Source organism: Homo sapiens, chromosome X, assembly GCF_000001405.40.
Source record: "Homo sapiens chromosome X, GRCh38.p14 Primary Assembly".
Lineage (NCBI taxonomy): Eukaryota > Metazoa > Chordata > Mammalia > Primates > Hominidae > Homo > Homo sapiens.
The window spans coordinates 133,647,658-133,666,190 of NC_000023.11; the positions used below are offsets into that span (position 1 = coordinate 133,647,658).

At 38.9% G+C, this 18,533-nt stretch overlaps 1 protein-coding gene across 4 annotated transcripts in view, besides 1 other annotated feature; it reads right to left on the reverse strand.

Moving 5' to 3' along the window:
• GPC3 (glypican 3) overlaps positions 1–18,533 on the reverse strand; it is a 449,850-nt gene that overhangs the window by 111,913 nt on the left and 319,404 nt on the right. For all 4 annotated transcript variants that reach the window (NM_001164619.2, NM_001164618.2, NM_004484.4 and 1 more), the window contains one exon: positions 14,073–14,193. In NM_001164619.2, coding sequence (NP_001158091.1) covers positions 14,073–14,193 — 121 coding nt within the window. The remainder of the gene's footprint in view (positions 1–14,072; positions 14,194–18,533) is intronic.
• Positions 1,769–2,460: an enhancer, noted in NCBI's record as "OCT4-NANOG hESC enhancer chrX:132783454-132784145 (GRCh37/hg19 assembly coordinates)". NCBI's record gives its function as "activates a minimal SCP1, AML or CMV promoter by ChIP-STARR-seq in naive and primed H9 embryonic stem cells {active_cell/tissue: H9 hESC(naive and primed)}" and the evidence as "EXISTENCE:reporter gene assay evidence [ECO:0000049][PMID:30033119]".

Sequence of the window (18,533 nt, forward strand, 5' to 3'; positions counted from 1 at the left end):
CACTCTTCTTTGTGAGGCTGTCACGAAACACAGTAGTCTCTCCAACACATCTAAGCACCCACAGTGGCAGCTGAAGAAAAACACTATAATCTCTCTCGATCTTTCTCACAGTTTTGGTAATTTTTGAGACTTCAGTGAATGGATGGCACTCAACATTCAACAGCCAAGGAGCTACATTTAATTGGAATTCTGACTAAAAAAAAGTGTGTAACAAATTGATTAAAAGTAATAGTTAACACATTCATCAGGGAATCTAAATACCTCATTGTGAGAACTTCTACTAAAGGTTCAATAAGGGACAAATCTCTGCAGGTACTAGAAATTTCTTTTCATTTTCTACTGTGGGACCTGGAGAAGCTACTGGTCTACTGTGGGAGGGCCGCACCCTACTACCTTCTGCGGAGACCCAAACCACTGCCTGCTCCAGCCTCTCCTATGTCCTGGCTAATGGCCAAAAGATGATTAAGTCAACTTTAGGGACAAAGCGGTTCTCATCTCCTAAACCAAGCTTGTCCAACCCGCAGCCCACGGGCTGCATACGGCTCAGGACAGCAGTGAATGAAGCCCAATGCAAATTTGTGAACTTTCTTAAAATACTATGAGGTTTTTTTTTTTTTTTTGGCAATTTTTATTTGTAGCTCATCAGTTATCGTTAGTGTTAGTGTATTTTATGTGTGGCCCAAGACAATTCTTCCTCTTCCAATATAGCCCAGGGAAGCCAAAAGATTGGATACCCCTTCCATTTTCCCATCAGGCAGTGGAAAGGAAGGGTAATGAATTTGAATAACAAACTTTCCTTCTTTGCCTTGTAAATGCTATCACTTAACTGGACTCCTTGCCTCCAATTTCTGATCTTTAAAACATCCTTCACGCTGCTGGCAGAGTTAACATTACTGATGTTAACTGATCTGACCATGTCACTCTCATGCTTCAAGCCCTTCATGGGCTCTGCACTGCCACAGAGTAAAGCTCAGATTCCTTAGTATGCTATTCATGGCCCTCCCAAATTTTTTACCACCTTTTCCATCTCATCTTTCACTGTCCACGTCCTCTTCCAATCTGGCTTGTGGCCTCAGCTCCCCAGCCACATAATGCTATCGATGTACTTTCATGTCTTTGAGCCACTGCTCATGCCATATTCCTCTGCCAGGAAGATCCTTCCTTCCAATCTCGATCTGTCAAAATTCTCCTCATCTTTCAAAGGCTGGCTTAAAGGCTACCTCCTATTTTTAAAGTCTTGTCTAATTCCCTCGGTAAGAATTAATCCTTCTCTTCTCCAGGCTAGCATAGTACTTGGTTTATATTTCTTTTATGACACACTGTGCCTTGGAGTATAGTAAGGTAGGCATGTTTTCATCACCCTCATTGAAAGTGCTTAAGTTATCTCTGTACCTTTGTCTGCAGCCCCTATGCTCAGTGCTTGGCACAGAGAGCTGCTTGCTCAATATTGAATAAATGAATGCAAATGGTGATGATATATGCATATGTGATGAGTGTGTAGGTGGGGGGGATTCTCTATGTCCTTATCAACAGACCCCATCAAATCCAGCACTACATAAAAAATGGGCATTCAATAAATAACTCCTAATAAATGACGAGGATATATATATATGTGTGTGTGTGTGTGTGTGTGTGTGTATTTTACTTTTTATTTTGCCTTGTGAATTTCATTTTGAAAAGGAGCCATAGAAGTAATCATGCTTTAAGTGACTTCCAAGAACAACAAACAAGAACAAAGACCATTAGACCAAGTAAAAGCTCAGATCTGAGTTCCATCTCAGTATATTATAATGAAACCTGCAGTTTTAACAATAATTTGGACCATGGGTTATCAGATTGCAATTACTGATCAATCAATTTGTCACACAACAGCTCGGGGAATGACATAACTGAAAAAAGAAATTGGCAATACGAAAATTGCTCCCCATGGGGATACCCTTATCCTATATTTGTGTCTGGCAAACAAAGGCGGCAGCACCACTGGGTTCTGGTCTGGAGATCTTTCAGCTCTGACTGCCTTCGAGCATCCATATGCAGCTATAACAAACTGCCTCTAGCTTGGCTTAATCTTTTGTATTAGCTCATTAATGAGTCTGGATTCCTTCCCCATTTTCCATGGTATCCCAGGCAGGCACAAAGGCTCAGGCAGCAGGGGGCAGCTTTCCTTTTGCCTGACAACAAGTGGTCACTGGTCCCAGTCTGTGGCTAACAAATTCCATAGTTCTTTGAAGGTAGAGCCCATGGTGTAGGTCTGCCCTAGGCTCTGCAATGCAAAAAAGAGCTTTGGGAATTTGGGCCTAGGCAGTGTCACTTGTAACTGTGACATCACCCCAACAGCTGAGAGTGATGGTGTCTCAAGAAAGCTCAGTAGCCACAAGCCCTGTGAATTCTTTCTGCTCTGTTGGCATGTGAAATACACACACACTCACAAACATATTATATGCTGCTCAAAATCATTCTAAATACCTCCTGTGAGACATCGGCCAATAAGGATATCATGTCAACCGGGTTTTAAATATAGGAACCTCTCACCATCTTCAACCAGAGAGCAAAATGCAAAAGGAATGCAGATTAACTTGCCCTGATCTTTATAGCTCTGAAGTCTCTCCACTTGATACCATCCTTCCATGAAAGGTCCTGGTGGGGCTGAAGATTAAAATGGGACTTCTGGATCATGTGGTAAAATCTCTAAGCTGTACTCCAAGGGCAGCCTGCCTATTTATAGAGCCTCTACTTCAGGGCAGAGTTCAAACTTGGGAAAATCTGAAGAACTTGATTTAAACACACCCACACACCCACCCACACACACACACACACACACACACACACACATATAAAAAATCGTCTTCATTTTCCATTCAGTCACTTTGAGCCAAACTAATCTTTAAATAGTTCAAAAATCTGTTGAAGGTTGGCTAGATATATTTTTCCAAGAATCTTTAGAATTTAGATTATTATATTTAGAATTTTTAAATCATTTAAACAACACTCCAAACTGGAAACGTTGTAGTCTCTCCATTTCAGAAATTGATAAACTGAGGCACAGAGACTCAAGTCACTTAAAAGGTCACTCTTGACTTGCCCTTATGCTAACTCTTCATATTGTAATAATATGAAGAAAAACAGTATCTAGAATGTATTGAGTGCCTACCACATATATTATCCCTAATATTTGTCTTAACTTTTCAAGATAGATGATAGTATACCCATTTCACAGATTAGGAAGCATGAGTATAGGAAAGTTAAGTAATTTGCCCTAAAGCCAAGTTACTACAAAATGACAAATCTGAGAATTAAAAATAGATCTATTTGGCTCTAAAGCCTTTGTTCTTTCCCCCAAACTAAATAATCCAGTGTTTTGGCTCTCAGATGTCTCACTGAGACTCTCAGTCACATACCAGTGATGCTTTACAACTAAAACAGGTAGTATTGGTGTAACAAAAACTCATGTGGAGCAGTGAACATCACAATCCCAAAACAGTCCTTTTTAACCTTTAAACAGGGTGGAGAGTATTTTTCTTTTTTCTTTTTTTCTTTTTTTTTTGAGACAGAGTCTCGCTCTGTCGCCCAGGCTGGAGTGCAGTGGCGCGATCTCGGCTCACTGCAAGCGGTGGAGAGTACTTTTCTAGTCACTTCCATGTCTCTCCCTCTCCCACCTCAACATACATGTAAATACGTATCCCTCTCTTCCCACCAAAAATGGCAACAACATCAAGAGAGTTGCCAAATTATCACAATATTTGGGGGATATTGTTTTGGGTCAGTGAAGGTTTCATAGCTGTTTCCATCATAACTAAAAACTAACATGTGTGCTAAGTTGGATTTCCCCTATCATGCTTAGGCACTCATGTTTGTGAATCTACATGTAATACTTCACATTTATCCCCATGGGGATATTACTCTGCTAGTTTTCTCCTGTCATTGCAGCCTACTGAGATATTTTTGCATCCCAATTGTGTTATCTATGTATTCACTAACCCCCACCTAGCATCATGCAGTCACTAAATATTAGAAGTATGCCTTCTCTATCTTCAGTTAAGTCACTAGCAAAAACTTTAGGCAATAAGGGGCTAAGCACAAAGTTAATAACCAAAGGCCTCACTCTGGGCTGATATTGATACATTTCATATATGATAATTAATTAGCTACACATTTATCCAAGTAGATGATCAGTTAGCCAATGTTTCTCCTTACTTATTTTAAAACAAATCATAGGAATCTCTGTCAAACACCTTGCTGAAATCTAGACCCAGCATGTCTATGCCATTCCTCTGATCAATAAGGCATGTGCATGTACGCACATATAAGGGGAAATGGCCTGATTAGTTCTGAGTAAGTCCACAGTGGCTACTTGTAACCACCATGGTTGCTTCCAAGAGCTCATGCTCTCCAAGAATCTAATCTAGAATTTCATTAAGATGTGACACCAGACTTTCTGGTTTGTGGCTTCCAGAATCCAATTTCCATCCCTTATTGAAGGTGATGGTAAACAATTGTGCCAGTCTTCAGTCTTTTGGCTCTTCACCAATTCTTTGTGATGCTTCAAAGTTTAATAACAGTGATACCATGATAATAACCATAAGAATCCTCAGTGGCCTTGAATGTAACTAACCTGAACTTGGACCTCATTTTTGTGACATACCAGAAGAGTAATTCTCTTAGCTTTTATTTGGTTTCGTCAGCTGCTTGCCCATAATACAGAACAGATATTACTCTCAGAAGTGATGACTTAGCAAAATAGGGACTATGAAAAAAATATCTAGATCAACTTATTAAACAAGGAAAAGAAGACCATACTTAAGAAATTATCCAATAAGATCCAGTGCATATAAATAATAATGTCATCTTTATTTTGGATATTAATTAGAACTCTGTTGGAGACACTCCACTTAACAGTTGCTACATAAAATCACTGTGCTCACTATCTAAGGAAAGCACATAGTTAGGAGTAAAGAATTAATCTCATTATTACCATTTTACCTTAACTATATACCAACACTGAGCCCATACAGAATTTGGAAACATTTTTTGCTATGTGTCAAATAAATCTACAGTTGAACACTAGATCTCAAATAGCCATGGGATTAAAGGACTAAGACCAAACATTTGTTTGGGCCAATTAACACAAGACTGCACCATATAGACAAGCTAGTTCAAGACAAAAGAGCTCAGCTCAGCACTTTGTTTTCATCGGATTTTGTTAGAATCCTAATGACATGGGCAAAGAAAACTCATATATGTTGGTCATCAGCTTCAAAGAAGCCACTTCTGGTTCACTAGTACTAGAGCATGGGCCTTTAGCTATCACTTCAATAATGTTACCACCAAGCCATTCACATTCTCCCATTTGGTCTCCATTCTGACCCACAGTTCATTTTAGAAAGTGGCTGATGGGGACTGGAGGGCATGCTGTGACTTCCTTGTGTATTATAGATATTTAGTACCTTCATTGACCACTCAAATTACGAAATGGCTCACGTGGGATTAAGCCTTTAATGTTAGCTTTAAGGGCATCTAAGATTTCTGTTATTTTTGCAGTTGGACCCCTTTAAGTGAAATCTTACTTAGAAGACCAATATGTGAAGAAGATTTTTAAAAACGGAGCTGCTCTGGTTAAAATAGGAATGGGGGACTTAGAACAACCTCCACAGCACCTCTCCCACATTCCCTATGGAACACAATCTGAATACACTGCCCTAAACAACTGAGCTATCTGGCACATAAGCCCACTGACTAATATGATGCTAATTTTGTCATTCTGGAAGGAGGAAGGAGGCACGAGATAAATTATTATAAGATGTCCAGGAAGGTGGAGGAGTTGAGATCCAGGGGATGAGACTGAAAGGATGACTGACCCTGAATGAGAACAGGAGCCTGAGTCAGACTCTGTGAGTGGGTAAAAGGCCATGAGCAACAGGTCTTGCTGATTCTGCCTTCCTTTGGTTCAGTGATCCCAGCAGAGACCTCCCCACCCGGTGCAACAACTGCCCAATGAGTTGAATGAGGCAGTTGGGCACTAAGGTATACTTGTTAGGCCCAAACTTAGTTAATATCCAAAATAAGTGATAAATAATTAGCAAGTTCATGATTCCTACTGTGCAGCCATTTGTTCCAAAGATGAACTTCATAACTATGGGCTTCTGCCATGATTTGGAGTACTTACTGTATAAGAAAATGTGTCTGTGTATTTGCAAGCATGTTTGCATCAAGAGCCTTTGGAAGCAGAGCAAATGGCACTATAGAATATTAACCTGTTCATTTCCCAGTCCCAGTGTTGTCATTTACTGGTAGTATGACTTTGGACAAGTCATTTCCCTCTCCTGGCTTTAACATCCTCTGTAAAATCAAAGGGTTAGACCCTATGATCCTGCACTTATATAATTCTGCCCTTTAGCACAGACACTGGTTAATATTGAATGCGAAAAGTACCTTAAATGAAATCTAAATTCAGAAATAAGGGCAGCAAAGGTTAAGTCCTTTGAATTGACTGATCAGTCAATTAATTATATATATATTGAGGGTCTACTTTGTATATGCTATTGTGTTAGGTGCCATGGGATACAAAGAATTAAATGTGTGATTCCACACTTAGGGAGTTTACAGTCTAGAAGCATGATACATATTCATAAATATATCTGGGTTAATTTCTGAAATAGTATTTGAATACACACACACATACATACACACAGACTGATATACCTCATATAGCAAATATTTGTAACTGCAAACGTTTTAGGGAATGAGCATTTGTAACTGTTTATTAAAAAATATCAGCCAGGCACGGTGGCTCACACCTGTAATCCCAGCACTTTGGGAGGCCGAGGCAGGCGGATCACCTGAGGTTAGGAGTTCGAGACCAGCCTGGCCAACATGGTGAAACCCTGTCTCTACTAAAAATACAAAAATTAGCTGGGCGCAGTGGTGGGTACCTGTAATCCCAGCTACTCGGGAGGCTGAGGCAGGAGAATTGCTTGAACCCGGGAGGTGGAGGTTGCAGTGAGCCAAGATCACGCCACTGCACTCCAGCCTGAGCGACTGAGTGAGACTCCGTCTCAAAAAACAAAAAACAAAAAACAAAAAACGATGCTGCATTTGGCCAGTGGGTAAATGTAAATACAATAGGAGACCCTATGAATTTCATAGAAAATTTAGAAATGTATTTCTAAACTTCATAAACCTGGTAGTCTATATTGTTTGACAGAATTCTCTTTTCATATGTAGAACTTGTCTTTCCATTGCTAACATGTCCAGTTAAAAATATCCTATGAAAGAATACAATAATGTAATCAGAAAAGTTCATGTATTTCCCTCCATTGCTCAATCAAGATGACCACAACACTAATACCAACAACATTTTGGCTCACCATTTCTGACTCATCTTCCATTTTTGAGTAATTTAATTTAATATGCAAGGACTAAAATACATGACCTAATTTAAGTACCTTTAATCCTGTGTATTCTAAATATAGCAAATAGTTCATTTTCAAGAAATTTAGTATGAAATACTTGGGAATTCTTCTTGGTGCAGTGTTATTAAACTGTATATAGTAATTAAGATATTAAAAACACATGCTCCCCAAAGCCACCAGACATTGTGATTATTTTTCAGGCTATTAGGCAAAGTGACAGAAGATTTTTTAATGATAAATCCGTTTTGGAATATATCAGAGAATTCCCTTTTACTTCATGAAATAATGTTTAACTCCACAGAGTCTAAGTCTGGTATTTAAGGACTAACTCACATTGTCCTTTTGTGACTCAGAAGTCATTCATTGGCTTTTGCTAACATGTCTTGTAGGTACTCTGTCCTTCACACACCCACACACACACACACACACACACACACACCCACACACACACACACACACACATTCTGGCTCCGTATGGAAATAAATGGCAATTACTAGAGTTCTGCCATGTCACTTGTGAACAAGTAAGACAGACACTGGGACATAATTCCATTTGGGAAGGTCTTTTATTTAAAGTTGACTTTCAAAAGGTTTCTCCTTTTATTTAGAAATTTTAGCTCAATATTGGCTTTTCTAGCAACCACTGCACTAGGCCAGTGTTTTACAACTCTCACTGGTGTTATTGTGAGAAGACTATGAAAACAAGTTACTTGGAGTGTTTTCCATCATGTCTGAGATTCATTTCAAACATTTTATTAAAATCACATGCTAAGGAATGTCCTGAGTGCTCCTTTGGCACTTAACAGCTTTACTAATTAACTTATTAAAAAATTTTAACTTTCTATTTCAAAAGTTAGTTTCTTCATTGCACTAGAGTCTGCCAGGCATCTTAAAAATAATTTTCTGGTGTTTACAGAGGGGGATGGAAGTGGAGACATTTCAGCATCTGTTCTAGATTTTTTAATTATCTTTGACCATTTAACATCATTCTATGAAGTAGGGCTCACTAACAGAAAGTTCTTCTGCTATTTATAACTCAAACTCATGCCACAAAGTTCCTCTGTTTCCATACAATGTGGTGGTTAGTTTTCCAAGAATCTCACCAACTGAGATTTTGTAAACAATGTGCTTAATCTTTCATTGCTGCTGATTTTAGAGCTTTGGCCATAGAAATTACCATATTTGGCACTTGAAAATTATCAGACCACAAATTAAGGAGTTTTTGTTATTTGTATTCTGCACATCTTTTCTATATAGATCTTCCTAATAGGTGTGCCATGTCTTGGTACAAGTAAAGGAAAGTGCACAGAGAATGAAATCAGTAGCTCTGGATTCTAGGTCTAGCTCTACCACTTACTGTATGGAACTCAGTAGACTTCTAATGCCCACAGTTTCTTCATCTGGGAAATGTAAGTAATAATGCCTGCCTTGCTTTCCTCTCTGAGTGGTTATAAAGATCACGTTATCTAATGGATAGGAAAGAGCTTTGCAAACTGAATTGTGCTATGTAAACATATGGCAGAATTATCATTCATATGGAATCACATGGTTAACATGATTCGAAAACAGGTCACCTATCTGGCCCTGGAGGAGGGAAACTTAGGGGTGATAAATGCAAAACTGTTTCTATAGTTTAATGTTTTCATAGCCTAATGAGAACAAGGCAGAACAGAAGAATTGGGTGGGGGGAAGGGCAAGTTTAAGTTCCATCTGCCCAGGCTGGAAGACTGGTGGGAAGGGAACAACCTTTGAAAAGATGAGAGGTTACAAAGTGGAAAGGGGTGACCTGGGAACAGGGTGTTTTAAAAAGAGTGGCAGAGCAGAGAATAAAGTCACAAGACTTGTTCACAAGAGGGTGCTGGGTTAAAGCCTGACCTTGAGCCACAAATCATGGAATCACACGGCTGGAAGGAATCTTAAGAGGCCATCTCGTCCACTCCCCCACCATTCAGCAGGACATTTCAACGATCCCAAACAGATGAGACTTTATCTAACTTTGAATGAAAAGCTCTGACACCAAGTGGGCAGGTATTGACTACTCTGGCTTCAACTGTTTACAACGGGCAGGAAAACAATTTCTGGTATTTCGTTTGAACCTGAACTGAAATGGGGAAACAATAAATGGATAGATTTTTCCTTGGGAACAATAAGTCCTGTAGCAGTTTAGGGACTACTAAATTAGCACTAACTACATAACTACTCTTAAAGAGAGAGAAAAAGTTAACAACAAAACTAGGTTAGGGGATAAATGGCCCATAGTATTATATGAGTAACGATGTGTTGTGATCGTTTTTGGTAATTGTGGAGTCTTCTCTCCATGCAGGAGCCTGGAGCAGAATGATACTAACAAAAACAAAACTTAGTTGTTGTTGTTTTAAAGCAACATGGCCTAGCAAATTCCAGGACTGACACTGAGGACATAAAAGAGTTCAATTCTTTTCCTAACACAAGAAAATAAGTCCTCACACAAATTAGAAACTGAAAAGGAAATAAAAAGGTCCTCATTTCTGATCGTGGGAATGTTACACATGAACTCTGCCTTGGAAGGAGGAGGGGAGAACATTCCACACCTGTAGGCCTTCCCAGGAAAGGGGCCTGAGCCTGGCTCTGAACCCATCCCCTCAAGGTTATACCATGGGACTATCAATATGAAAATAATGTTACTTTATTCCCTTAGTGGGTATATTCTTTCCAGCGCTATCAACAGTAACCATAACCTGCAAGGAGGCAGCTGAGAATTCCCAGGAAACAAAGTGAAAAGCTATTTTGGGATGTGCTCATAAATGGCCTAGCTATAGTTCATCTGGATGGACGCACATGGGGCATACATGCAGAGAGAGAGAGAGAGAGAGAGAGAGAGAGAGAGAGAGGAGAAGTATTTCTGTATTTATAAATATGTATGTTGGAGCATGCTATTGTAGTTTTAATAGATGCAGCACCGAGCAAGGGGCTTAGGAAAATAACATCACATTCTCAGATTCACCACTCAATTACATGTGAACTTAGAAAGTTAACTTGATTCTTCCTCCCTATCACCAAATCTTTAGGCCGATTTAGTCAGGCATTCAGTGAATCCAGATGTTTGGCAGTGTATAGGAAACATCTGGATGATTGATTGAGTTTTAAACTGAACTCACTGGATCTTTTGGCAGTATGTCTATACAGCCATTAATGGCTTTCTGCCTCAGTTTCTCTAACTATAAAAAGGACAAACATTATTTATCCCTTACCTTCTGAAAAACAGTGAAAATGAGATAAGGTTTAAGAGTAATAATGAGTTCTTGAAAAGATTCTGTCACAGTTTTATACCTTATATAATTCCAAGTTGGATTTTTTTCCTAAGCAGTTAGACTTTAGAACATGACATCACTTTGAAATATGGGTAAATGCTATACAAAGAGAACACATTATCATTATCATCATCATCGACATCATCATCATCATCATGACTTTCTTCTTTATGACTTCCCTGAAGTGTCTCACTTTCAGATCGAATCATGGCCAAAATATAAATTTTATTTAAGGACTGAAAAAATGTGTTTTGGCTATATAAAGCAACACAGATGAGAAAAAAAATCAATGTGGGTGTTTGGAGTCCAACCAATTTTAACAGCTCAACTGAAACAGGTAAAACTGGTTTATCAATGAGAATTAATTGGCTGCTCAATGGTATTTGTATAGAAACTGAAAATGTTCATGCACATATTCATGGCCAGAGGTAGGAAAAAGGAATTGTAATAGCGACTTTTCTCACTCTATGTACATCTCCCTACCTGTCAGCTGGTTTCAGCTTTTGTGGCTGAAAGTTAGAGGAGAGGAAAAGAAGGAGACAATATGGGAGAGAAAGAAGAGATGCATCAAAGGGATCTACAAACATACAAAACTGGGGGAGAAGAATTAGACTCGCAGAAAGTACTGGAACTCCCTTTCAAACTCAAGTCCTGCCTATAGAGAAAATCCTAAACACAGTCCTCACAACTAACTGCCATATATTAAGTGCCTGTCATGCACATGCAATTACATATATCTATGTGTACATATTATATATATGTATATGATAGATATACACTGGAGTTTTTGATATCTTTACCATAATACAGATGAGAGAACTAAAGCTCAGAGAGGTTAACTGATTTACCCAAAGTTATGCGCCTAGCAAAATCTATAACTGAATTCAGATCCATTTGGATACAAAGCCCAAATTCTTTCTACTGTGCCCAAAGCCTTTGCTGAAAGGACTTGCTATAAATATTTTTTAGTGACTGCCTGATCATATAGAAGCCCATGTCTGATGCAGCTTTCCCATTTTCTAGGGTGGGGTCCGCCCACAGGTCTTCACTCGATCTTTCTTATGACTGCCCCTCCCTTGCTTGTCTTTACCTACTCAAACCCTACTCATTGCTTATGGCAGATCTTAACACTTGCCCCTCTCTGCAATCTTCCCACTAGCCTAATCATACCACCCAAAACCGATGAGCAGCACTCCTCTTCAGACTCTGCATCACAGGCTGCCCTTTATCTTTATTTAACCACTTCTTATGCTTATGCTTCCTCCCTCAAGGAGGCTGTGAGGACAGAGGACTAGACTTCCTTTGAATCCCCAAAGTCCCTGGCACCTGGCTGAGTACATAGTAGGTAATCCTTAAGGTCTGTTGACACAAGGGACCTGTTGACAATATTCCTCATTTAGAATTAGGGACACAGTGATGGAAACTGAGATTTTGGCCTCACCAGTGTTGGGGTCTAACCAGTTGAACATAGCCACCTAGACACATTTTGGTTTGAGATAATTTGTACCACTGTCCCCAAGTGAAGCATATCATGCCCTCAACTCAGCAGTAAGTGTTTTACATCGTTTGTGCTCTGATCCCCTCAGAGATGCATTTTGAAATCATCACACTATATCTAGCAAGGCTTGATAGAACTTAGTGAAGTTGTACTTTCACACACAAAAATGGCTCAGTTAGGTAGACACTGCCATTACCATGTGCTCAGCAGCACTAACAGCTATTTATTAAGTGCTCACTGAGTACAGAGCACCTTATCAGGCACCAGAGGAGTTTATACCCAAGCATGTTGTCAATACTTTCACAATGCCAATTGCAGTGAAAAATATACTACTCTTAGAAAGCCCTTCTAAGTATTTTCTAGGACCCACAAAAATTTCACTGCTAAAATCCATATTTTAAAAACTCATACCAATGTCTTTGTATTAAAACCTCTGTTCTTGCATAAGGATTTCAGTTTCATTAAGTTCTTCCTAAACTACAAATAGAAGTCAGTGATGCCACAGTCCTCCCACCCATGGATCATGGGGCAGGAACACTGTCACTCTGGTATATGCCTTTTTGGTGGCATTTTTATTGTGGCCACAAAGCAATCATAAGCAGATGGTACAACTAACTTCTATTTGTGTCTTGTTACTAAACTTCTTATGAGAGGAAAAACTATGTGTACAGGTCAAGGGAATCTGTGGGTGTCTCTGTGCATGGCAGTGAGTCAGAAGCTGGCAAGGATGCAGTGAAATTGGACCTCTCCTGTCTTGCTGGTGGCAGTGAAAACTGATACATTCTCATTGAAAAGCAAATTTGGACACATGCATTTTAATTGCTCATATCCTTTGACCCAATAACTTTAGCATGTTAAGAAAATAAGCTAAGATCAGGATAAAGCACTATGTATGAGGAGGTACCTTTATTTATGATGGCAAAAAATTTGAAGCAACCTGTATATCCAGCAAAAGCATGCTGATTAATTATGATGAATACTCAACAGAATATTATGCAGCCATGACAAATAATTAATATAAAGATTTGTGGGGACCAGGCATGGTGGCTCACACCTGTAGTCCTAGCACTTTGCGGGGCTGATGCAGGAGGATTGCTTGAGCCCAGGAGTTTGAGACCAGCCTGGGCAACATAGTGAGACCTCATCTCTACAAAAAAATTAAACATTAGCCAGGTATGGTGGTGCATGCCTATAGTACCAGCTACTCGGGAGGCTGAGACACGAGAATATCTTGAGCCCAGGAGGTCAAGACTGCAGTAAGCCATGACTGTGCCACTGACCTCCAGCCTGGGCAACAGAGCAAGACCATGTCTCAAAACAATACAAAACAAAACAACAATAACAAAAAGATTTGTGACAACATGGAAAAGAAAAGTGTTTCCAAGATAGTGTTAATTTTCAGAACTACAAATCACTTGTGGATTTCTAATTATGGAAAAAGTCTGTGTGAGTGTGCCTTTCTGGACAAATATTAGAAGAGAACATGTAAAAATGAAAACAGTTGGGATAAAATAGTGGGATTGTGAGAAATATTTTTCCCTCTATTTTCCAAGCTACCCCTCAAATTGCAATATTGTCTTTATAATTTAAAAGTGGGGTGAAAAATAAGGCCAGAAGTCCTTTCTAGCAGACAGACTATTTGAAGAAATAATAGCGTCTTTCCTAAAAGCCCAAGAATATAGTTTGAACAGTGGAAGCTGGCTATATCTCTCTTTCTCTCTCTCTCTCTCTCTCTCTCTCTCTCTCTCTCTCTCTCTCTCTCTCTCTCTCTCTCTCTCTCCCCCCCCCCTCTCTCTCCCCCTCTCTCTCTCCCCCTCCTCCTCTCTCTCGGTTATTTCTACTTTTTATTATTATTATTTTTTATATTCCACATACCTGGTTAATGTGCTTCAGTTTGTCAATAATTTGACTGACCACTGGCTCAGGGCCCTTCATTTTCAGCTCATGGAGATTGAACTGGTTTTTCATTCCATTCCTTGCTGCCTTTTGGCTGTATCTGTAAAGGTGAAGGTAAAGAAAAGGTTTGTCAAAGAAAGTCCCAAACAAAGGAAAAGCTGACTGTATTTGGCATCAACAGTCAGACTGACCACAAGCTCATGAGACGACCTCATGGTGCAAAAGTAGACCACTCCACATAGTGTCTATTTACAGTAAAAAAAAATTCGTTCAACAATCAACAAATATATACAACATGCTTTTTTTCCCCTAGATGTTGGGAATACAACAATGAACAAGACAGACAAGGTCTGTGTGCCCTTATTGTGCTCTCAGTCCAGTGGGGAGTCTAGAAGAGTAAGGGCCAATGACCAGGCAGAGTGATTAGAGCTGTGCTAGGGGAGGTTCAAGGTCATGACAGTGAAGCACACAGAATGAACCTTCACTGTGTGTGAGCCTTCTACTCATTTGAAGGAGAAAGATTCTTCCATGTTCTTTACCTCTTCCTTCTCCTCTTCTTCCTCCTCCCACCATTTCCTGTAGGCTCTGGAGCTGGGTATCTATTCAGGAGACTTTCTCAAATCACTTTCACCATAAATTATACCTGTCAGCTTCCCTCTGCGTTCTCCATGAGAGGAGAGAACACCAGCCCAAGGGAAGATTTTAATGTGCTCCTGTAGGATAAACCATAGGCTTTACTCCAGAATTGAAGTTTCAAGGTAGCAATGGACATCCTCACCATCATGAGAAGGGTAACTATTTAAAGTACTAGGCAATTCTGCCTTCCAGTGTGGGGTTTTGCCAACTTCAACTGGGACAGTGATTCACAAATGAGGTGGTTTCCTTGTTGGTTCCAGACCTCTACATAGAAGTATTCCTCATTTTGCGAAACAAAGCAAACAAGAAACAGATTTCATTTATTCCTTTTGCTTTCATCATGTGGAAATACCAGAACACCATTGCCAAAGAGAGAAAAAGGTTTTGAGCTCTTTTTTACTTGCTCCTGATCCTGATAATGGAATGCTTTCTTAAAGAAATGAAAAGATTCCCAGGGCTTTTGCTCTCTCATTATATACTTTTTTTTTTCAATTACAATAGGGTAGCCAGGGTTATAAGGGCAAAATTGATATCTGTAACTCATATTTTTAATTACAAAATAATAATGTTCATTGTAAACAATTTAAGAAGTACAAAAATAAACAAGGCATAAAGTAAAAGTTGCCCCATCAATCTGTCTTTCCAAGAGTGGACCATGGTCAACAGTTTGATATACATGTAGAGGTTTTCACCTACATATACTAATAGGTAATTTTAACCAAAATTGGAATGATACTACTCATACTGATTTGCAACTTTGTATCACTTAATATACATACTTTGGACTGGACTTGTAATCCCAGCACTTTGGTAGGCCAAGGCAGGAGGATTACTTGAGCCCAGGAGTTTGAGAACAGCCTGGGCAACATGGTGAAACCCCATCTCTACAAAAAATACAAAAAATTAGCTGGGCGTTTTAGTAGAGACGGGGTTTCGCCATGTTGGCCAGGCTGGTCTTGAACTCCTGACCTCAGGTGATCCGTCCACCTCGGCCTCCCAAAGTGCTGGGATTACAGGTGTGAGCCACCGAGCCTGGCCAATTTTCCGTAGAGGCAGGGTCTCCCTGTGTTGCCCAGACTGGTCTCAAACACCTGGGCTCAAGTGATCCTCCTGCCTCAGCATCCCAAAGTGCTGAGATTACGGGCATGAGCCACGGTGCCCAGCACTTTTTTCTTTTGAACTATGACTCTCACATGATTTTCACTTCCACAGGTGGGGGTCCTCTGAGATAGTTTGTGTGTTATCTCCACAGGGTGATAGGCTGTGCTCTGGAAGTATGTTTAGGACTTGAATTTCAATTTTCAGTCACTCTCACTGGGTTCCCAAACCAGCCTAGTTTGGGACAAGAGATTATGAAACACTCCTTAGAAACACTAACTCATCTCAACTAAAATAGGGAGTGAATGAACCTGGCATACTAAAGTGTTAATAACGACAAACTGAAAAATATAAAATAACCACAAAATAATGAGGCAATCTCGATGGAATGGGCACATGTACTTGTGTGCCTCATTTTATGCAATGTAGGTATTTCAAAGAAGTTGTGTGTGAAATGAATTTCTGTGATCTGAATACTCTAAACAGGCCAAAGAAGCCTTGTTATTTAAAGAAATTCTGTAAGCAAATCTTTTTAACTGAAAAAATAAGGAAACTCCTGTTTCAGAAATCATTTAGTATATTTTGCTTAAAGTGAGGCACACTTGTATTAAACTAAGGAAAAAAAATCAGTGAATCGGGTTCTACTGTTTACATTATGTATAATTTCCAATGAGATAAGATAATGAAAAGTGAAGATGCCTAAACTGATTTGTGTTTAATTCGGCACATAGCTCAATCTACCAACAAAGAGTTTTCATTTGGCATTTGCAAACAGATTATCATTTAGATAGTACCACCAAAGCAGCTTCAATGTTGCAACTTGAACATCTTTAAAGAGACCAAAATTTTATTTTAGGAATCAATTAGCTATCCACTTAAGGTAGGCATTAAGCATTTCTAATTCTAATTAATTGATTCTAAATGATCATTTTTTAAAGCACAATCAAACTGTTTTGGTCCTATAAAAAATATGGTGGTTAATTGCGGCTTTAAAAAGCTGGACTACATTTTAATGTTCAAAAGTAGATTCAATATTTTGTAAAATGATAGTAATGACCAAAAAAATGAAACTACATTTATGGTTTAGTGCTTCTGTAATCTTGTTTATATCACCAGATACAAGTCACAACTGTCAAAAACAGCTACCAGCTGCCAAATTGTTGGATGTTATGCTTGAGAAATGAGGGAAAGGAACACTTTTTGTATTTTTCTGGCTTTTGTCTCTGATAAGAAAGTGGAAACTTTGACAAAAATATTGAGTTGCAGTATTTTAATACAAAAAAACAGAACTGCTTAAAATAAAACAATTAAGAAACCGAACCACTCAAAAAAAAAAAAAAAAATAGCCGGGCGTGGTGGTGCACACCTTTGGATGCTGCAGTGTTGAGCCCGGGAGGTCAAGGCTGCAGTGAGCTGTGCTCTAGCCTGGGTGACAGAGTGAGACCCTGTCTCAAAACAAAAATTAAAACTAAATAAATACTTTGGACATATTTTCATGTTAGAACACATGGAAATGCCTTGTTCTTATTCCTCTGTATGGCTCAGTAGCAACTTCTTTATCCAATGCCTTACTGATTAACAGTAATTTGTAATATTTTGTTAATATAAACAATGCTGCAGAGAACATCCTTGTATACTGATTTTCACACACTGGCATTTATATCTATAAAGGATAAATTTATAGATTTTGAGTCAATTTATATTTCTAATCCCAAGTTATGAAGTACAAAGAATAATTAACATTACCATATTTTTGTACAGCACTTTACAAAGCAGTTTCATATCACTCAGCTCATTTGAGCTTCTCAACCACACTGTGAAGTTGAGAGGTAGATAGGGCATTAGCTCTTTATTACTGAAAATTAGATAGGGCATTATTTCTTTATTACTAAAAATTTCACAACTTCAGAACATACTAATCTCATTCTATTAGATGTCCCCGTCCATGATACAATATATCTGCCAATATTAAGGACATACTTAGAAAAACATGCATGCTAACAGAGGAGGTCAGGAAATCTAGTTCTGACATTCATAATTAAAAGTCATCCTCTGAGAAGGAAAATATTTTGTAGCAAAGATGCTGAAGAGCACATTTGATTGCATTTCTTCTAAAATGATAGCTTAACACATTCAGATTATTTAACTTTAAAAGTTAACTCATGAATACACAGATCACCAATCATCAAATACCAATTGCCTTTGGGGGCTGTGTTAAAGAGACATAAAGGAACATTCTTTATCTGGTGGGTATCAGCTCACTACTAGCCTCCTCTTTTATGTTCATATAATGCGGTCTGTTTAAATATCATTCATCTTCTGATGATACTACCAACTCCATCTTCTCTTCTTTAACTCCTACTGATGCCTGAAGCAGAGACCCTATTTGCAGATAAAGAGGTAAGGCTCATTATAAATCTTCTGAAATGAACTTCAGGAATGTGTCCCTAGAGACATATCCTTGGTCTTTTTCATATCAAAGCTTGCCAACCACTTTTATGTCCACTTCTATAAAACAAGCGTCTTCCCAAAGCTTCTTATCCTCATTGGAATAGTGTAAAGACATCTGCCAACTTAGCGATTTTGCCCCGTACTCCAGCTTCCAAAACCATTATAAATATTAAATCAAATTAATCCCACAGCTGATCCTTTGTGGTCCTACTGTATTATTTTCTGTCATTCAGAAAAGTGCCCCTTTAGCTATGT